The sequence below is a fragment of the Homo sapiens genome, chromosome 1 (genome assembly GCF_000001405.40).
Source record: "Homo sapiens chromosome 1, GRCh38.p14 Primary Assembly".
In the NCBI taxonomy this organism is placed as follows: Eukaryota; Metazoa; Chordata; class Mammalia; order Primates; family Hominidae; genus Homo; species Homo sapiens.
This window is the reverse complement of record NC_000001.11, coordinates 76,820,173-76,843,817: the sequence shown is the minus strand read 5'-3', so window position 1 is coordinate 76,843,817 and position 23,645 is coordinate 76,820,173.

The following is a 23,645-nucleotide window of genomic DNA, read 5'->3' as shown; positions in this document are numbered from 1 at the left end:
AATGTGGCCAGGCGCGGTGGATCAATCCTGTAATCCCAGCACTTTGGGAGGCAGAGGCGGGTGGATCACCTGAGGTCAGGAGTTCAAGACCTGCTTGGCCAACATGGTAAAACCCTGTCTCTACTAAAAATACAAAAATCAGCTGGGCGTGGTGGGGTGCACCTGTAATCCCAGCTATTTGGAAGGCTGAGGCAGGAGAATCGCTTGCACCAGGGAGGTGGAGGTTGCAGTGAGCAGAGATCATGCTATTGCACTCCAGCCTGGGCGACAAGAGTGAAACTCTGTCTCAAAAAGAACAAAAAACAAAAACCTGAATGTATAGCAAACTTTATGACTTAGGATTTCACTCCTAAGTTACACATTGGTTATATGCACCAAAACCATGACCTTGAATAGTTCAGAGCAGCACGGAGTGTAGTAGCCTGTAACTGGAAACTACCACATTGCCATCAACACAGGGTAATGATAGACACATAATGTCACATTCATATAGTGGAAAGCTATGCAGCAAAGAGAAAGAACGAACTACAACTACATATAACAATATATAAGAATTTCACAAATATAATTCATGAAAGAAGTCAGATGCAAAACAGTGTATGTGGTCAGCCCCCAATATCCATGGGTTCTGCATCCATGGATGCAACCAACGGCAGATGGAAAAATATTTGAAAAAAATTGTGCCTGTACTGAACATGTACAGATTTTTTTCTTGTTATTATTCCCTAAACAATACAGCATAACAACTATTTACTCAGCACTTACATTGTATTAGGTATTATAAATAATCTAGAGATGACTTAAAATATGTAGGAGGATGTGTGCAGGTGGCAGGCTATATGCAAGTACTATGCCTTTTTACATAAAAAAACTTAAGCATCTGTGAATTTTGATATCTGAGGGAGGTCTTGAAACCAATCCCTCATGGATACTGAGGGATGACTGTACTTATTAATATAATCCTATTTAGATAAAATTCAAAAACAGAATAAATTAATTTATGCTCTAGAAGTTCAGATAATAATTATCTTTGATGGGGGTAGGTGATTGAAAGGAAGTACGGAGAGGGCTTTGGGGTTGCTGATAATGCGTTTTCTGATCTGGGTGCTGGTTACACAGATGTGTTCAACTTGTGAAACTCATTACATTGTAAGTTTAGGACCTGTAAATGTATTTTTATGTACGTATATTAAACTTCAATTAAAAGTTTGGGCATAAAAATAATGCTAGCTTGGGAGACAGTGAATAGTGTATCAACATGTATTTATTCAACAAATATAATTTTTCACCTACTCTTGTAGTTACTGGGGATATAGCCATAAAAGAAAAATCTTGCCCTTAAAGAGCTTATATTCTGTTAGCAGAAGGAGAATACACATAAGCAAATGAATAAATGCATGATAAAATTGCAGGGAGTGACAAATGCACGGAAGAAAATTAAAGTACCTAAGGGAACAGATGGTGTTGACTGGAACAGTCGGGGTAGGTGTCCCTGAAGAAGTGGCAACAGAGTAGAAACTGGAAGGAGGGGAGATCTGCCTTTGCCAGTGTGTGTGGCAAACTGTGTGAAGATCTGAGAGGCTGCAAAGGCCCTGAAACTGAGAAGAACCTCATGGTCCTGGGGAAGGGAAGAGGGGAAGCCCAGTCCCTCTTTAAAAATAAAAATTGGCAGTATTTAGCAATATTTTTCTCATTAAATGAGATGTTCAGCTGATTACATGTCCATGAGGCTCTTCTGATAATTATTCGTGATAGTATTTGCTTTGCTTGGCACAAAGTGAGAGGAGTAGGCTTTGGCCAGCAATAGGTGGATTCTTGTTTCTAAATGACATTTATTTTGTGTATTGCAGGGGAAAAACACTGACAGGCACTGTCCTTGGCCAGGAGAAGCCACTGAAGAAAATTAAGTAGAGCAGTGGCATGATGAGACTTGTGTTTTAGAAGTATTATTCCAGCCACCATGTAGAGAATTCAGAGGAAGGAGAAACATACAGCTAGAAGATGCCTGAGATGAGGAGAGAGTCATTTTAGAACTGGCAGCACAGAGCAAAACCAGCCAACAACCTAAAGCAGCATAATAAAATTACACTATGAAAGGGGCTTATTTCAGATGCTGATAGCAATTGTGCTGCCTGTGGAAGGGTTAAGCTGTTAGAGGTGTCTTTCCCTCAAGCTATAAGCTGTTAATGGGGACTATGCTGATGACACTAGGCTCCCAACTTAGTCTTCATTTCGTGGAGTACGTTTTCACTTAATACATATAAATACTGATGGAGGGCTTGTTGGTCTTTTTAGTTTTGTTTTGTTTTTAAACTTAGATTCAAATCACTCTTGGGATCCAAACCAATTTAGTAACTCATTTCAAATTCTTACAAATATCATGTAAAATTCTGCTTGGCACCTTTTGAACTGCATCCTCTGCATCAAGCAAGAAAACATATTGCTGAATTATTTAGATAAATTACTGAGAAAGAAAACAGACCAGTTTTAACTGGACATCACTTCTCTTTTTTATTCTAGAACAACCTGCATCCAAGAAAGAAAGTTTCCCCCCATGCTTTCCTGTCATCATAATGTCTTCCCCCAATCAGCCTCACTCAGATCAGAAGGGAGGATTAACCCCATCCTCCCCACCACCCCTTCCAACAGTGGCTTTTAATAAGGTGATGCTGAGAGAGAAGAGTCTGCTACCCTTCAGCGTGAGTGAAGGGTACTCACTGCTGAGTAAGTCTAGCTGGCCAGGGCACACAAGGGATTTTCATTTCTATGTGGGCATCAGCTCTGGATCTTTCCTTGGGCCTATCATGAATACTCACAATTGCTGTTGTAGTTGCTCTGCTTATAGTATAAAGGTAAAGGACCTCTTCAACCCTTCAGGTTAACTAAAAAGCACTTGTTGAGGTCCTACACATGTACTGGTTGGACGTTTTAAGGAACTGACTCATCCAGGATACCTTTGATAATTGGGTTTATTGCAAAGATTCACTGTAGAGTGGATTATTATTAATATATTTTCAGTCCGTGAAAGAGACAGCTAACTGTCTCCTAATATTCTTTCTCTCCTTCTTTCTGTGGTTGTAGAGCCTTCACTCAACTCCACCATATTTTAGCAGGGCACACAGCTAGAGGCATTCAGTTAAAGGCAACATTTCCTAGTTCTCCTGGCAACTAGGTATGATCACATTTCCCAAAAGAGTATGAATGGAAGGGAAGTATGCAACTTCCATTACTTTCCTTAAAGAAATTTGGTTGCCTTCCAGGTACTCACTTTCTGTTTTCCCACTGGCTGGAAATGAACACTGTGCTTCTGAGATAGCTTTGATGATGTGACTAGGACTACTCCCTAGGAGATGACAGAGCCCTTATTACTCAGAAGCCAGGGAGTTTGACATGTATGGTTTCTCATAAAGTTAACTGAACCACAGATCATACTCTGGAGCCAGACACAATGCGTTCAACAATAGAAAATATATTAGCAATATATTGCCAGGCTTCTAGAACATTTTATTTACAATATATTGAGATGCATCCGTTGTCTTCTAAAGGCTTTGCTCACCCTGACATTCTTAGTCCTTTACTTTCAGGAGGTGAGCTAGTGCCAAAGCACTCCACCCAGGTTGTCATATAAGCTGGTTAAGGGACACAATGGAAAGGTCTATTGCTTAAAAATCATTCATTAGTGTCTGAAATTCTTAATAAAGAAAATTCATCCTTCTAAAACACAAATTGGAAATTCATCACCTTGTTTTAGGGGAACGTTTTCTGTTCCAAAATGAAAATATCTCTGGAATATCAAGAGTGGTGAGAAATCTGAGATTTTACCCACTCAGAACCAAACAAATTACCCTGCCACAATTTCATGGATACTGGCAGGAGATATGAGACTCCTGGGTCAGAGACAAAGGACTTTATTTATTATTGAAAGCACAACAAGCCAACAAGCAGCATGAACTTCATATTTACATTGGTTCTCTTCACCTGTCAAATCCCAGTGGGGAGATTTGGTGGCACACCTAGGTGATGATGTGCACATGGTGGGTACACACTGCAAATGAAAAAACCCATATCTTTATATATATATATATCTTTATATATATATTTGTATTATACTTTAAGTTCTAGGGTACATGTGCACAACGTGCAGGTTTGTTACATATGTATACATGTGCCATGTTGGTGTGCTGCACCCATTAACTCATCATTTACATAGGTATATCTCCTAATGCTATCCCTCCCCCCTTCCCTCACCCCACAACAGGCCCTGGTGTGTGATGTTCCCCTTCCTATGTCCAAGTAATCTCATTGTTCAATTCCCACCTATGAGTGAGAACATACAGTGTTTGGTTTTTTGTCCTTGTGATAGTTTGCTGAGAATGATGGTTTCCAGCTTCATCCATGTCCCTACAAAGGACACGAACTCATCATTTTTCATGGCTGCATAGTATTCCATGGTGTATATGTGCCACATTTTCTTAATCCAGTCTATCACTGATGGACATTTGGGTTGGTTCAAAGTCTTTGCTATTGTGAATAGTGCCACACAATAAATATACGTGTGCATGTGTCTTTATAGCAGCATGACTTATAATCCTTTGGGTATATACCCAGTAATGGGATGGCTGGGTCAAATGGTATTTCTAGTTCTAGATCCCTGAGGAATCGCCACACTGTCTTCCACAAGGGTTGAGCTAGTTTACAGTCCCACCAACACTGTAAAAGTGTTCCTATTTCTCCACATCCTCTCCAGCACCTGTTGTTTCCTGACTTTTTAATGATTGCCATTCTAACTGGTGTGAGATGGTATCTCATTGTGGTTTTGATTTTCATTTCTCTGATGGCCAGTGATGATGAGAATTTTTTCATGTGTCTGTTGGCTGTATAAACAGACACTTTTGAGAAGTGTCTGTTCATATCCTTCACCCACTTGTTGATGGGGTTGTTTTTTTCTTGTAAATTTGTTTGAGTTCTTTGTAGATTCTTGATATTAGCCCTTTTTCAGATGAGTAGATTGCAAAAATTTTCTCCCATTTTGTAGGTTGCCTGTTCACTCCGATGGTAGTTTCTTTTGCTGTGCAGAAGCTCTTTAGTTTAATTAGATCCCATTTGTCAATTTTGGCTTCTGTTGCCATTGCTTTTGGTGTTTTAGACATGAGGTCCTTGCCCATGCCTATGTCCTGAATAGTATTGCCTAGGTTTTCTTCTAGGGTTTTTATGGTTTTAAGTCTAACATTTAAGTCTTTAGTCCATCTTGAATTAATTTATTCAATTAGGAAAAGAGGAAGTCAAATTGTCCCTGTTTGTAGGTTACATTATTGTATATCTAGAAAACCCCATTGTCTCAGCCCCAAATCTCCTTAAGCTGATAAGCAACTTCAGCAAAGTCTCAGGATACAAAAGCAATGTGCAAAAATCACAAGCATTCTTATACACCAATAACAGACAAACAGAGAGCCAAATAATGAGTGAATTCCCATTCACAATTGCTTCAAAGATAATAAAATACCTAGGAATCCAACTTACAAGGGATGTGGAGGACCTCTTCAAGAACTACAAACCACTGATCAATGAAATAAAAGAGGACACAAACAAATGGAAGAATATTCCATGCTCATGGATAGGAAGAATCAATATCGTGAAAATGGCCATACTGCCCAAGGTAATTTATAGATTCAATGCCATCCCCATCAAGCTACCAATGACTTTCTTCACAGAATTGGAAAAAACTACTTTAAAGTTTGTATGGAACCAAAAAAGAGCCCACATTGCCAAGTCAATCCTAAGCCAAAAGAACAAAGCTGGAGGCATAATGCTACCTGACTTCAAACTCTACTACAAGGCTACAATAATCAAAACAGCATGGTACTGATACCAAAACAGAGATATAGACCAATGGAACCGAACAGAGCCCTCAGAAATAATACCACACATCTACGACCATCTGATCTTTGACAAACCTGACAAAAACAAGAAATGGGGAAAGGATTCCCTATTTAACAAATGGTGCTGGGAAAACTGGCTAGCCATATGTAGAAAGCTGAAACTGGATCCTTTCCTTACACCTTATATGAAAAAATGCATATCTTTCAAAGGCTCTTTGTAAACCTGCTCAACTTTGGAGACATTATCTTTATTATGCTAGGTCAGGAAACATACATGTTTTCTGTTTTCGAGGAAGACACTATCTCTATCTTCGAAGGCTGCTTGTTTAACAAACATCCTTGACAAGGTAGCCTGGAACAAAAGCTGATAGGTGACATGCAGAAACACCATGGAGAATTGTCAACTGACATCTAAGAGAAAGAATATTAAGCCTTTATCAACTTTACACACATGACCAAGTGTACCTAAGGACACTCTTTAAGACTGGCTGTCTAAGAATGCTTCCTTAAGAAAGGAAAGGCAAGCATATCAGGCAGCTTTCAGAGTCTCAGAGACCTGGTATTCAAAGAGTGACAGATCTGGATTCAGTATTCAATGCAGACCTTGGAGTAGCAGTAAGGATGTTTCTGTTGCATACTTGACTTAGCTCCCATGGCTCCCTCTGCCAGGAACACGATTATCTCCCTCTTTACCAGAATAATTTCTTCATTTTTTTCTGTAAGACTCTGTTGAGGCACCGCCTTCTTTGCAAAACCTGCCCTGAGCCCTTGCCTCCAACTGAGATAGGCATCTATAGCTGCGTTTCCAAGACATTCCTTTTACTTTTCTCTGCAATACAGTTTATCACACTATATCATTATATGTGTAAGATAAGTTTCCCTGAATCTATTGACACCTTCTTGAGGGTAAAAACTGCATATCTCTCTGTCTGTCTGTTTTTCAATAAATGAAGAACTGAACTAGATTGGCAAGAATGTCAGTATAGTTATATGTCAAATTATGACATTTAAATCAACAACGGACTGCACATATGACAGTGGTCCTATAAGATTTTCATACCATATATTTACATTACCTTTTCTATGTTTAGATACACAAACAGTTACCATTGAGTTACAATTGCCTACAGTATTCAGTAGAGTAGGCAATTATTCAGTAGGCATATGGTATTTAGTATGCTGGACAGGTTTGTAGCCTAGGAACAACAGACTATACCATATAGCTTAGGTGTGTAGTAGGCTACACCATCTAGTTTTGTGTAAGTATACTCTGTGATGTTCACTCAATGATGAAATCACCTAAAGATGCATTTCTTAGAATGTATCCTGGTCAGTGATGCCTGATTACACCTACATTTGGTGTTGCATCTCCTGCTTTCTTTAAATTAAATGCAAATTATATACTAGATAATAATTTTCTGCAGAGCAATGAGCTTGCTTTGAATTCCTTGATATTTCCCTAAGAATGGCACTCATATTGGGTAGGATCCTGTCTTTGGGGAGTTACAAAGTCTAAATGAACAAGAAGTTAGTTAAGGTTAGGTTAGATGCCAAAGAAGCCCAGCCAATTGTCCTGGACTCCAAGAGACCAATCTTGAAAGCAATCTTGGTATTCAGAGTGACTTTACACTTATCTGTTAGTCAAGGTGCAAGCTAAGCTTCTGTAACAAGGAGACCCCGAAACTCGGTAGCTCACCATAGATAGAAGCTTATTCTTCATGTAACAGGACCAAGATGAGTAGACAGTTCTGTTCCAAAGATCAAAATTCCATTTTAGTCTGCCATTTAAGGTCATTTTTTCCATCTCTACTGTTTGGAGTCTGAAAGCAATCAGTTTTACTGGTCTTGCAAGACCCCACATTTTTGGACTTTCCATTTACTTCATTTCTGCCTGAAATTGCCCAATTCTTTCCTGAGATATTATTTATTTTGTAATATTGCCAAATGGCCAATAACAACAACTATTAAATTTTAGTTTTCCAACCTCTCTTCTTAAGATGCCTGCTCAGCAGACACATGACCTGCTTCCTGTGCTACCTCTGAAGATGGTTCCACCAAATACATTACATAGATCTCCATCTCTCCAACTTCAGACAGCAGGTTTCTCAACACTCATGGCTAGGCCAGTGCCACATATTTTAGCTTTAAGTTTTTGTTTTTGCTTTGTTATTTGGTGGTGGCTCACCACTTCTCTTTCCAATATTTGTATTCATCAAGGTAAGACGATGTGATAGATTGTATTATTATTCCCAATTATTTGTTACCCCTCCCTGTGAAAAGATCACACAGTTCTCTGCCCCATTGTAATAAGGCTTGGTCATGTGGCTTTTTTTGAACAATGAAATGAAGGCAGAAGCATTATGTACCATTTCTGAACAGAAGGTGTAAAAGCCTTCATGTAGTTCCACCAGTTCTCTTGCCTCTTCTATGTCTTGAACAATGGTATTCAAGAAAAGGGCTGCTTCTTACCTCTGAACCTGTGAATGAAGATGACTCATATGGCAGAGAAACAGCCAATCCACAGCCACATCTGATGGGAGAACATCTAATAGTGTTATAAGCCACTGGTATTTTGTGGTTGTTTTCCCAGCATAACTTAGTGAAAGCTGACACTGTGAGACTACACTGCAGTAATAAATAAATCTCAAAATCTCAGTGGCTTGGCATAAAAGAGTTTAATGTTCTCATTTAGGGAAGGCTAGAGGGGGCTCCATTTTCTCCAGGATACAGTCTTCTTTTAGGCATTGCTAAATTAATTGTCATGAACAACTACGGCTTTGAACTTACCTGACCAGCTTCTATTTGGATCATGTATAACCAAATCCACTGAGATGGGACCTCATGAAGGTCTGAATTATTATTTTATTTTCTTGTATTTCAGATCCTCTTAGCTTGTTTACATAGTTTGACTCTTGCCATTTTGAGATTTGTTTTGATTTTGGATGTACTATGTTTTTAATCATTAAAGAAGGATTAGTTTGGTTGGTCCAAAATGAATTTTATACTGCTTTCCAAATTCAGTATTCTTTTGAACTTATTCCAGGAACTGCACTGAAGTATTGGTCTCAAGATGTAGAGTGCTATCTGGGCCTCTGCAATCCTGGTGTGATGGGGGAAGGTTTAGACTCAAGATTCTACCTCTTTGCTCAAAATGCTCAAAACTCACATAGCATTTCTAAATGTACCAAAGCGATCTGTTTACTTCTCCCTTATCTAAAGATGGTAATTAAAATTAGCTCAGTGCTGAAGCTCTAAAAGCCTTTGAACAGATTTTAGCAGCTCAGTCTGTCTTTGATCAGGAATGTTCGCTTAGGTGTTCCAACTCTTTTAAAAACTCTTCAGTAATTTTCCAAGCCTCTTGTCTATCACAACTGACCGATGGCTGCTCCAACTTCCAACCCTAAAGGAGTCTAAAATCATTTCTCTGACATTCTCATTGACTAATTGTACTTTGATTGGTGTCAGCTGCTGCCAGCTGTGATAAAACTGTTTTCAGTAAGCCTTGACATTCTAGAGATGACATTAGGTCACTTCTCACACTTATAAACAGGAAAGTTTTAGATTCACAAAGGGAATTGATGCTATGGATAGCCTTTCCTTTAACAGAACTAAATTAAGAACTGACTATGTGCCAGGTACTGTCAGAATGGGGCAAAATCTTACTCACTTCTCCAAATTTTCATTGAAAGGAGCAAATTCATGTTATTGGAAAAGATGGTGTGGCCAGGTTGAGGGAAGCATTGCCCAGCTTTGAAATTGCTATATGTGAAGGAAGAGCCCAATGTGTGGGTGGAGAAGAAGAGACACAGTGAAAGTCCACAACACCACCAGCTTACACAGCAGGACACATGATGTGACAGGTGTGTGAGTGTGTGTATGTGTGTGTGTGTGTGAGAGAGAGAGATCTTCATTCACTTGTACCTCTGAGAAAGGCAGCTGTTATTGGAATTCCCGGAGTGCAGGCCAGTATGAAAATAGCAGACTATAACGTGGTGCTTACTACACACTAGGCAGTGTTCTATGGACTTTATATGCAGTAACTCCTTCCATCATCACAACACCATCATGAGGTAAGTACTACCATCCCCATGTGTAGATGAGAAAACTAACTCCCTCCTGGTACTCACTTAAGGGCTTGTAATTGACTCAGATGATCAGTTAAATTGTGCAGACTCTTAACAAAGGTGGTTGTGCCTATTAGAGGAGAAGGAAAGCAAGAGCCCCAGCTCACGTTCTAGCTACCACATCACACGTGGAAAAGAATCAGAACCATGGGCACAGAGATGAGGCTCCCGAAGTGATAGCCCTGGGGCTGTAGCTTCTTCCCAATTTCCCTGGGCAGCTAGACTTCTCATCTCACAAAGTGACACTACAGTCAATCTAAATCCTTTCCTTTTTTATTTGTCTTGAGTCTGAAATATTTCATCAGGGACCCATGTCCTCTGGGGCAGAATCTGCCTGAATTCCTCATGCTGGGCAAACAGCCATCTCTCCGCAGAGCAGGAAAATGGAAAACTCACTGGGTATTTTAGAAGAGGCATTGGCTCAAAAGACAGCAGATATGCTAACACACCTGGGGCAACTGTTACCCTACAAGTCACAAGAAGAAGGGAACTCCCAGATAATGACTCATTTGTATTCTCAATAAGAGAGTATTTCATTCATAATACAGAAGCAGGCAGTCCTTAAAACAGTCTTGAAAGTAAAAAACATTTCTTGGAGAAGAAAAACATGAACTCTGAATGCATACAGTGGAGGAAGCAGGCAATAAGTTAAACATAGTAGAAAACTCAATTAATGAATAAAAAATAAGCTTTATAACTTGTCACAAGACATGAAGGAAAAGGATAAAGTAATGGAAATCATGACAAAAAAGAGACGTGGGACATTATCCTGGTGATTTGACATCAGGTAATTGAAATGTCTTTAGGAGAAGATAGGTGGAGGGAAGTAACCAAAGAACTAGTCAAAGAAAATATCTTTAAATGGAGGAAAAACATGAATCTTAGAGTTAAAATAATTAAAATGACTCTATCCCAAAGTTTTAAAATCTCAATGATTTCTCAATCCTTCAAAGCATTCCTGAATGCAATTTTGAGGAAAACAAATGGATTCATTATAAAGGAAAATAATCTAGTTGACATCAGAACTTTTCTGTTTAAAATGAACACTGTCAGAGAACAATGACACATTGTCCACATAATTTCCAGGGGCAAAATATGTTCCCAGAATTCTAGTCCTACCCACATTAGTCTTCAAATGGCAGGGTAGAGGAAAAACAAGTTCCAATGTGCACAGCTTCAGAAAGCATACTGTCAGTGTATTCTTCCTGAAAAAATTACTTGAATAAGTGCTCCAATGAACCAAGAAATTAGTCATAATAAAGAATTTAGAAATCAGGAAGATTTATCAAAGGAAATGTAATGAAAGATGGAGCTAGTGAAATAGTATTACATTTAGATTACTAATGCTAATGTAGTTATGAAACTTACTGCAAATGTCAAAAATAAAGGGAAACAGGAGATACCTAATGTCAAAATGTATTAAAAGAATCGAGATCTAAAATCCTAGATCATTTCAACAAAAACTGAGTGTTGAGATGTGTATGTGAAATTTCACATTTTACATGAAGGAGTACTGCTGTGTCGTGTTTGATATTTATAGAAATATATATATATGTATATATATAATCATTTATTTTTTAAAAAAGTTTTAAGGATGGACATCAGTATGGCAGGTTTAAAGCTTTTTGTTTTTAGTGGTTAAAATCCCCCCTCCCTATACACGCACCCACACACCTGAATATAGAAAAGGTAACAAACAGTGAAGACTGTGCTGGTTGAGACAGAGCAGCAAACCCAGGACTTTAACCCCTGGGCTTTCTCTTCACCTGTATTTTGCTTCAGAGCCCTGTAGCAAGATCCTGCATAGATTTTGCTTCATGGACCAAAATTTGAAAACCACTGCACTAGTAGGATAAAATCAATAAAACTTCCATTTTGTTAGACTACAACTTTTGCCAATCTGCTATGAATGGATTACAGCTTGCCATGAGATATTGATCTCTGACCATGGGGTAGCTGGGCAGGCCTGGGGCTGCTGGAGTCCCATAGCCTTCGACTTGGAGCTGCCTCATCCAGAGTGCAGTGGTCTGATAGTATGCTCTCAGTCCCCACAGGCTGACGATGTGTCTTCACTCATTTTCACTCTGCCCCACCATGATGTGCATAGTACTGACAAGGAGGTACTGCTATCACCTGGATCTCCTTCAGCAGCCAATGTTAACATGATGTTGTTGGGAGAGTATAGCACTAGCTCCAGGTGGGGTTGGGCCCATGTGGGTACAGCTCCCTGTGATAACCCCAATCTCTGCCTTCACATGTATCCGATATTTCTGTCCATTTCTGGCAGAGTGCCTTTTTAGTGGCGACTTAGCTAGCTTCAGAATGGCCTTTCTAAGAGCATATGCTCATTCTGAAAATGAGAGAATTACCATTATTTTGAGATACTTAATATGAAAAAAATTCGATGGATTCAAAATCCATTCACATTATCACAAGAAATTTCAATATTACATTAATAGATAAAAGGAAGAGCTGTTAGTTTCTTTAAGTATAATTTAAATGTGTCCATTTTGGAATAATTGTAAAAATACTTTACTCTCTTTTATCACCTACATGTGCAAAGTTTCTCACGATGGTGCTTATAAAGAATTTGAAAATATCATCATGGAAAATTCTTCATCAGGAATTTTGTGTAGTTATTTCAAGCATAAAATCTGACATGAATAAAAGAGTTGTGGAAGCAAGCTCAAATTTTTCATCAAACATCTTGAGAATACTTTAATTAGAGGCTTTATGTAATTTAATATTTAATGTGTTCCTCAATTTTACTGTTTGTACTATTTTACTTTTTATAATATAAAGAAAATATATTTTACTTCTTTTATAATATAAAGAAAATATATTTTACTTCTTTTATAATATAAAGAAAATATATTTTGCACTAAGCCGTATATATGCCCTCATATTTCCTCCAGTTTACTGAGTATGCAACACAAGTATTGTTTTCTGTGTGTGTGTGTGTCATAATGTAAAAGAAGTTTGGAAGCACTGCATTAGGGAAACAAATATACAGAGAAAGTTTCATTAATAACAAAAATAAAGGGGAAATGAAGGAAGCTCATTTGAACATTAGCCATTTTGTATTAAGTGAGGGGAGAAAGTTACAAAACAATACGTGTGGTTATTTTCACTTTCGCAAAATAAAGATGTCAAATCTATCACCGGTGAATATCTGTGGTTATCTCCCTAGCTCAGAGTAATGTCTCCTTTCTGTTTCCTGTCCCCCTTCAGCCCAGACAGACACTTTCAATGGAGGCAGTCATATTTATAGAATATGTGCACGGCCCTGTCCACAGCTGACTAAATCAGTGATGGGTTCTCTGACCAATCCTCATTTCCTACCCAGAGGGTTTTGGGATTGTGACGAAGAATGTACGGTCTCAGTCTGGCAGTTATCTTAAGCAGAGGGAGATTTAAAATAACAAGATGTTGTTACTAACCATTATTATTTTTATTATTATTATTATTTTTATTTTTGCCACAGGGTGAGGAAAGAGAGGTGAAGAATGCAGAGAACAGATATTTTCCCAATTCCCAGCAGTGTTTAAGTCTGATTCTAAGGCCTGGTGCATTTTTTACTGTGAGGTCAGGGAGACATTCTGCTATTCTTATCATAAATCTCCCTTTTGCTTTAATTACTTCAATTAGGTTTCTTCTGCCCACATCCAGTGAATGCATTATCTATATGTTAATTCCTAGGGAAAAGTGAAAGTGACATCTACACTTAAATATCAGCAGAGCTTAACTCTACATGATGGACTATGGGTGAATTTTATTTTTAAGCAAAACTTTTCCAAGAAGCATATATTGCTCTTGTGATAAGAAAATAATTAAAGAGAGTATTTAGGGGATAAAGAATTGGGTAATTATGTTTAAGACTAATTTTTATGCGTAAGCTCCTAATTTTAAGTCTTATTATATATGGCATAAAATGGAAGACTTGACAAATAATTCTGAAAAGATTGCTTTTTAAAATGGCTATAATACTAAAATTGAGCAATCTACTTGTTAAATAAGTATAAAAGTAATTATTTTTTTAAATTTGCTTGCTGGGGGAGGAACTTAAAACATTTTATTTTTTTATAAGTTGCACTTCATTTAGAGAAGTATTTTATGAAGGGAAGGATATTTGTCCTCAATTAAAAAAAATTAAGACCAAGTGCAGCATAGGAAAAATGAACAGATTCCTAATCCTGACCCTCATAGTGATCTTATACTTCCCTGCAATGTCTGTAATGCCAAGTAAGTGAGAGAGTTCAATGAAGTTTGACCAATGTTATTATTGCAGAGGGTGGGGGAAAATGAAGAAGCATATTATGCTGGAGCTGCCCACTGGTTAGGAGATTGACAGGAGACACATTTTTTGAATGTAGCACAACAAGAAAAAGGATACAGACTCTCTAAACCCGGATTGCTTTCAAATTGTCAGAAAAATCTAGCCATTGAAACCCAAGATTTAAATTTCAGATTCTAAGGGAGTATAAGTGAGAACTTCCTTCTGAATTCAGTCTCTTTCTGAGAGAAGATAAAAACACCCAACGCATTAATAATTTGGCAAAGTTGGCCATCTGACTCAAAGGCTCACACACCGAAATAATTCATCTTGAAGACTGTGTGGCTTTATGCTCAGCACAGATGGGTTTACCTGTGTGAATTTCTGTTCTTATTTAGTGTTGTCGTCTTTAAGATGAAAAATGGAAGGCTGACATTTCCTGATGCATTTTTCACTGGCAAGTCTTGAGCAGAAATAATCACTAGCATTATTTGTCTGATGACAATACAATGGGGTAAAATGAATGATGATGGCCCTTGGCACCTGTACTTTGGGTGAGAAAGGATAAGAGTTTTTTTCTATTAGAGAGGAGAAATATTTGATTAAAGAAGTATTGGACAAAAGTGCTCAAAGAATGGATCTCTTTTTTCCTCTTCAACACTTAACCCTACACTTAACACTTAAAAAATTTGCTTAGATCTTGTTCTTAAGTCTGTCACTCCCAAACTGTAGGACCTAGTGGATCTGAATTGTAATGTCAGTGCATTTTGAACCCAGCAAAAAATTACATGGGGCTGACGTTAGTTTTTTTTTCCCCTCAGGTTGCCTCATCAAGCAACAAAATAATGAATTTTTTTTTTTTGGGGGCATGGATGGTGGCTTTACTGCTTACATTTATGGACTCACAGAATCTCAGTCTTGAAACCAATACCAAGGAGTTTTCTAGCTTGAAAAACATTTTCACTGTGAGAACTCTGCGCCTCCAACAGCCCATTTTATCTCGAGATATTCTTTTTTTTTTAAATTTTTTTTATTTTTTTTATTTTATTATTATTATACTTTACTGAAGCTCTTCCACGTTAGTTACTCATCAGAGTGGGGAAAGGTAAATTGGTTTGAATCCTGGTTCCTGATCGTAAGACTTTGAAAGGTGACTTAATCTCACTGAATTCTGTTTTTCTTCTTTGTAGAAGGAGCTAATAATGCAAGCTGAGTATCCCTAATCAGAAAATCCAAAATCCAAAATGTTTCAAAATCTGGAACTTTTTGAGCACCAACATGACAATGCAAGTAAAACATTCTACATCTGACCTCATGAGTAGCTGTCAAAATGTAGTCAAAACTTTGTTTCAGGCACAAAACTATTAAAAATACTGAACAAATTACCTTCAGTCTATGTGTATTAGGTTTATATGAAACATAAATAAGTTTCACAGTTAGAGTTGGCTCTCATCCCCAAAATAGCTTATACACAAATATTCCAAAATCTGAAAAAATCTGAAATCCAATGCTGGTCCCAAGTGTTTTGGATAAGTGATGCTCAAATTGTACTTACCTTCTAGATAGTTGTGGAGATAAGCTGTGATGAAACAACTTGTCATATTCCCTGATATAATGCACACTTGTGCGAATATTTCTGTTTTTTATCTATATTATAACTAGAGGCTTAATTTCAGCTCTAACTTTGCCTGCCTTAAAACATTTCCACTATATAGCCTTCTTATCTTTTACAAATATGCTTTGTTCATTGATCTTGTATTCATATTTTTTCAGGACTGCTTAGACATTTGCTATTTGAAGCTTTTCCAGAATATTCTTCTAGGGTCTTCATCCTTTGCCCAAAGACTGAGATACCATTAGTTGTTAGGATCTGGAGACTACAGTGAAGTCAATAGCTTGGAAATAAGATTCACTTCTGAGAATTAAAATACGAAACTATCACAAAGTGGTTGTTGGTTGTACTTGCCTCATATGGCTACTGTGAGAACTAAAGGAGATAACATATGAAGCCCTTAGCATGATGCCTAAACATGGCTATGGTAATGATGATGTTGATTATGCTGGATAGTCCTAAGTGTGGCAGGCAAAACAATAACTTACAAGCAATAATTATGTTGCAGATTTTTTCCAATCAAAGATTAGAGTAATAGCTATAAGATAGAGATTGAAAATAGGGTTTGACTCTCTACTCACATGCTATCTAGAATGCTGAGTTAAGAAGGATTCTGAAGCTGCACTTTAGCTCAGTGAGAAGAGTGCCATGACTAATTAGCAATGTCAGCTGTGAGAGCAGGAGGTGGTTATGGATGGTATTCGTTTAGCAGCCTTCTTCTAGGTCATTTTTTTCTTTTTTTTAATCTTTGACTGAAGCCTGCTTAGGTGGATCAAAAGATTCCTTGATTCATATACCTTATCCATTTCCAATTTCTAGTGTAAAAAATACTCCACGGTGACAAAAAATTGGAGAAGAACAAAATAATAAAAACCACAGTCAAACTCTTCCATGTTAGTTACTGAAAAATTATAAGCCAAAAATGCCATGATCAAATTTAGAGTTAATTAACTGATAAAAACTTTGAAGTAAAAACAATGAAATTAAACTAATGCTAATTTAAAAGCAAGGATAGCAGCCTTGGAAAATCCTGGTCATTCAAGACAACATTAGTAACATTCTAATGACATGTTTTCATCTCACAAATAGTGGGAATTGTAACTACTATACGTCCATGCAGTAGAATGTTCCCAGTGTTGCCAAGCCTTGAAGGGTGGTCAGACTTAATAGAATACTAAATTAAAGGCCTCTGTAAATGCTGATAACACATAATTTTAGTTTAATGTGACAAAGATTACTAATGGTTCCCTCGTATCCCTAAATGGACACTAGTCATAATAATGGTATGTACTCTTAGGATTTGTGAAGATTAAGTGTGATGCTAAATGAAACACCAAGGACATTGGCTAGCACACAGCACAAGCACAGAAAATGTTAGTTATTATTAGCTCGTCCAATTTTAGGAATTCTAGTGAGATACTGAAAACTTCCTAAATTTTTCTCTATCTTCTTATGATACTCCAACTACACCACTTGAACATATTTCCTTTATGATTTAGATCCATGTTTTTAAAAAACATAATGTCTTGGTAAGATTGACACTTCATTCCTTTATATGTTATATGTATCTTTAAATGCCCGTAATGAGCCAGACATCATGCAATGTCCTGCTGGGAAGAGGGAGTCACTAAGATGAATAATCATAGTCTCTAACCCCAAGGAAATCTGAGTCATTCTGGGGATGCCTGGCTTAGTCTAATAAATTCTGTCATCTGGCTCAACCCACCTTTCCAAATGGATTTTCCATCACATTATATTATGCTGTGTTCACATTGAACCACCATGTTTCTTAAGCAGTTCTTGTGCTTTCCTAACTCTGTGTCTTGTACATTCTATTTCCTCTGCTTGGAAAGATTCCCATCCTAACTTTTAAAAGAAATTGATTAACTCTAACCTCACCTGTGAAATCTTGCTTTATTATTGCAGTCTGAAAGTAAACTGTCCTTCTTTGTAAAGCTGTAGCAATGTATATTTTTGGCGTAGCAATGTATATTTTTGGCGAATCAATGGATGTGTGAATAAGTAAATAAGTTTTATATTGCCATATTCATGGGGCCATGGGTAAAAAGTATTCTTCAGCATGCTGGATGAGTCTGCAGAATATGATAGCAAGAGGCTCCAAAGACAAACATCAATAGCGTGGCACTTAATGCAAACATAGTGCAAGCCATACTGTATACTGAGGCATCAGCTTTGTCATCAAACTCCATCTCTCCCACTCTACCATATGACCATAGCAAGTTATTCAGGTTTTTCACCTGTAAACTGAAGATTAACAATGGTTCCTACAACATAGTCACCTGAGGATTAAACGTCATAATAAATATTAAGCTCTTGACATGATAAGTATTGGGAACATAGCAAGAATTCAATAAATGTTAACTGTTATTATCATTTGCTATTTTGTGAGTGTGTCATTCTCCATGCACCTATAGAACACTAGACTCAGTGCAAGTCTTGAATCTGACTCTTTGGAGCCATCCTTCTGGCAGATAAACATAATTTCCTGTGCAAATATAAAACTGGAGACCATCAGGAGACCATTTTGGAGTATCAGGAAATGTGGCTTCTGAAAGTTATATTGCCTTTTTCAGAGAAGCCCGTTCTCAAATTGGCCATTTCTATGTAGTCCCTACTCCACTCTTTTAAGTTCATATCTGTCACATTTGATAGTCATCTCCTCATTAGCTGGCAATAGCTAGACCAATTAAAATGCAATTAATAAATAATAACTGTGGTGTAGAATGATGTTGGCTTGTGGCAGAGGCATTCTGAGACAAGCAGCCCAGCATGCCTGCCACTTTGGTGGAATAAGCTAGAAACTCAACTAAATGATCTTTGAAAAGAACTGAAATGCTTTACTTTGAGTGTCACCAATAAAGCACAAAAAACATGACCCAAGAACATTTTGATGTGGTGCCACTTATAGCAAATTTCCCTGATCAGGGATAAAGGCATCATTTTTGTTTTATTTTATGTGTATGTATGTGTGTTTAAGTAATGTATGCTGTTTGCTGTAACAGGACATTTGGATAGTACAATTTAGAAAGAAGAGTGCAGATGAGAAGATTAGAGGCTTATCTTTTGTAGTACTACAAAGGATGTGGAACAGCATTAGAGGTCAGTCAGAGGTTCTTTGAAATCATTTTACTTGAGGTACTTGAGCTATACCTCATTTGTGGCTTCACTGTTTTCAAGAGGACTAACAGGTTGGACAGTGGTTGGGTGAATCCCTCCCAAAATAGAACTGAGGAATGTTTGAAATAGGGATGAAATATAACAGGCAGAAATGCTACGTGGGAGAGGAGCTACAGAAAGAAAAAGGACTTAGGAAAGTATTATATCTGGAGTGGTTGCATACCCTAGTTTGCTCAGGGGAGGCCCGGTTTATACCTATGCTCAGCCACCTTATGTATTTAGCACCTCTTTCCACTCTCAAAAGTGTCCAGGTTTATGCATTAAATTATATAGCCAGCAGAGTTAACACTGATGTGCTCAATTTCAATCTTAGAAACCAGAAAAATGAGCATGGACCAAAACCTGCCTTTGGCTGCTGAAATTCCAAGTTGTGTAATAGGGATTTAGAAAGAAAGGCAAAACACTGCATGCTGAAAAGCCCAAGTACATTCACTTGGTTACTTAGGTAATAAAGATGACACACCTGGGGCTGGCAAAATAATCAGGTGTGTTAGTACCTACTGCAAATGTGGTCCTCTGGAGGATTGAGAATCTATTCTCCTGGGATCTCTGCTCATTGTGTGGCAGAAATGTTGCTCACTCTTCAAGGTGGTTAAAGTAAGGGAACACAAGACAAATCTCATGGTTACTTATGAGATGCAGAGTATATTCAAGGGGATGGGCCAGAGGGAGTCAATTGTGAAAAGGATGATTCCAGTCCAAGGGCTAGAACTTCTTGTCCTGGAGGCAGTCTCTCTCTTTTCAGAAAACAGACCCCACCTGCACAGTCTTTTCCTCAGGTCCTTGCAGGTCCACCGGGGAGTGGTCAATTGCTACCTAGGAGAGCAGAGTTTGTCTGTATCTCCCTTTGGCAGCACATGTACTAACAATGGAGTAAGTCCAAGAATATTAGCATGACTCCTGTGTAAGAACGTTATTGAAACATTCTAATTTTTTCAAGCCAAGTATTATTATTTTTATTCAACATTGTACTGGAGGCTCCAGCCATTGGTGGAAGGCAGGAAAAAGAGATAAAAATTGCCATGGTAGGAAAACTGATTATTCAGAGACAGCATAACAATCGTCCAAATAGAAGATCTAATGTATACTATAGATATATAACACAGACACACACACACACACGCACACATAAATACACTAAGCGAGTTTAATAAGATTGCTACATATACGATCAATTTAAAAAAGTCAATTGCATAGCTATACAACAACAGCCAATAGACACAAAGTGTTCATTTTAAATAGAATATGTTTAAAAATAGAAGAAAACATATGATCAAGGAATAAATTTAAACAAAAGATGTCCAAGTCATTTATGTAGAAAAGTACATAATTTTTTAAAAGATTTTTTAAAAATGTATATTTTAGGTTTTGATATACATGTGTAAGTTTGTTATATAGGTAAACTTGTGTCATGGGGGTTTGTTGTACAGATTATTTTATCACCCAGGTATTAAGCCTAGTACTTGATATTTATATTTTCTGCTCCTCTCCCTCCTCCTATTCTCCACCCTCAAGTAGACTCCAGGTCTGTTGTTCCCTTCTTTGTGCTCATGAGTTCTCAGGATTCAGCTCCCACTTACAAGTGAGAACATGTGGTGTTTTGTTTTCTGTTTCTGTGTCAGTTTGTTAAGGATAACAGCCTCCAGCTCCATCCATATTCCTGCAAAAGACATAATCTAATTCTTTTTATGGCTGCATAGTATTCCATGGTATATATGTATCCCATTTTCTTTATCCAGTTTATCATTGATAGGCATTTAGGTTGATTCCATGTCTTTGCTATTGTGAGTAGGGCTGCAATGAACATTTGCATGCATGTGTCTTTACGGCAGAATAATTTATATCCTTCTGAATATACACCAGAGGAATATACTGACCCAGTAATGAGATTGCTGGGTGAAATGGTAGTTCTGCTTTTAGCTCTTTGAGGAATCGCCATACTGTTTTTCACAATGGTTGAACTAACTTACACTCCCACCAACAGTGTAGAAGTGTTCCATTTTCTCTGTAACCTCACCAGCATCTGTTATTTTTTGACTTTTTAATAATAGCTATTGACAAAAACAAGCAGTGAGGGAAAAGACTCCCTATCCAATAAATGGTGCTGGGATAACTGGCGAGGCAGAAGATTGGAGGTGGACCCCTTCTTTACACCATATACAAAAATCAAGTCAAGATGGATTAAAGACTTAAATGTAAAACCCAAAACTACAAAAATCCTGGAAGACAACCTAGGCAATACCATCCCGGACAAAGGAACGGACAAGGATTTCGTGAAAAAGACACCAAAAGCAATCGCAACAAGAGCAAAATTGACAAATGAGATCTAATTAAATGTAAGGTCTTCTGTACAGCAAAAGAAACTATCATCAGAGTAGACAGACGACCTACAGAATGGAAGATTTTTGCAAATTATGTATCTGACAAAGATCTGATATTCAGCATCTTTAAGGAACTTAAGCAAATTAACAACAACAACAACAACAACAAACCAAACAACCTCCTTAAGAAGTGGGTAAACGACATGAACAGATACTTTTCAAAAGAAAACATACATGTGTTCAACAAGCATGTGAAAAAAAGCTCAATATTGCTGAGCATTAGAGAAATGCAAATCAAAACCACAATGAGATACCATTTCATGCCAGTCAGAAAACTCCACAATTTTTCTGAAAAGAAGACCTAAGTAAATGGAGACATGAAGTGTTCCTAGATAAAGTGATCAGATCTCCCATAATTGATCTGTTAAAATATAAATTGAATTCTTTATGAAACTTGGTAGATGCCATCTAATATGTATATGAAAGAGGGAAGCCCAAACAAATAGCAAAGAACATCCTAAAAAGAGAAAAATGTGGAAAACTTGAACTACCAGCTGTGGAGACTTATGATAAAGCTTTATATTAGCTTCCTATGTGGGTACATAAAGAGATCACCCAAACAGAATACAGAGCAGGAACAGACTAACCCATCTATGGAAGCTTATTACCCAGGGAGCTCGCATTGCACACCAAGGGGAAGAAATGGACTGTACAACTGATGGTGCTAGGACAACCGACTATCCGTGTGGAAACAAGTGAAATTGGAACTCTACTTCATATTCTAAACATATCTATTTCAGGTGAATTAAAAGTTTAAAAGCGAAATAAATCTTTAAACTTTTAAAAGAGAATATAGGAAAAAAATCTTCATTTACCTCAGAGTAGGGATGTATTTTTAAACAACTCACATGAAACATAAATCATAAATTTAAAAAGCAATACATTCGATCATACTGACAAAAAATTATGTGCTTATCAGAAAAGAGAAAAATAAAAAGAAACCTAAGAGAAAAATGAGCACAAGACATGAAAAACATTTCACAGAACAAGAAACCCTGATGCTAGTGAATATCTGAAGAAAATATCCAGCCTAATTAGTAATCAGAAGAATGCAAATTAATACAACAGTAAATTATCATCTTATACTTATCAGACTGGTAAAACTGGGTAAGTGTTGATGAGAATGTGAGACACTTAGACGTTGTGGGACTGTAAATGTATAATCACTTTGGAAAATTATTTGGCATTTTTTTTTAATTTGAAGAAAATCATATCCTATTACCTAGCAATTTCATTCTTAGGTATGTGTTGTAAAGAGGTTCTTGCTTATGTGCACATTGTATAACAATATTCCTACTATGTTTACCCAAATGTCCATTGACAGAAGAATGTATCAATAAATTGCATACTATACAGCAGTAAAGATGATTGAATACGACTACATGCTTCAACATGGATAAGAATAAAAAACATAATGTGGAGCGAAGAAAACAAATCACAAAAGATACACAGAGCATGATTTCACTTACATAACGTTTAGATGTATAAAAATCAGTAGTTTATAATTTTGGGTTATATGCACATGTAATAATGCTATTTTTAAAAGCGATAATACTTAGTGGATCATTACTACTATTTTTTAAAACCATAATTCTGGTAGAGGAAGGGAAATAAAAAAGTAATGGAGAAGAATATCAAGGGCTTTACCAGAATTAGTAATTTTCTATTTCTTAAGCTGGCTGTGGGCACAAGGATGTTCACTTAATTATTCTTTATACCTTAGGCATTCATTATACATCCTTTTTTGAATGTATGAAATATTTTATGAAAAATACATTTTTTAAAGGTTTCCAGCTGGCCAGAGACTCCCATCAACTGATTCAGGCAGTCCAATTATTTCCTTATTTACAGCTGGATTTATACTTTTATCTTTAGCTCATCCCTGAACAAATTTACTGAACATGGTCTAGTGATCAGATTAGCAGCCCTCTATAATGCTGCAGCCAATCCCAACCTTAGCGTATGCATAATACAATTTTAATGACCCAGAACAGCATATTTGGTCATCTAATATAGGCAGTTTCCCCATTAGCAATTTCATTGGAAATTCCCCAGTATGTAATTTCTATTAGTGGCTTTAGTATGAAGTTTCATTGCTGCCTGCTGGGGACTGTACCAGGAACCAGATTTGATGATACCAACAAATGTTACTTTCTCAGTGAAGTCTTTCCCAATGCC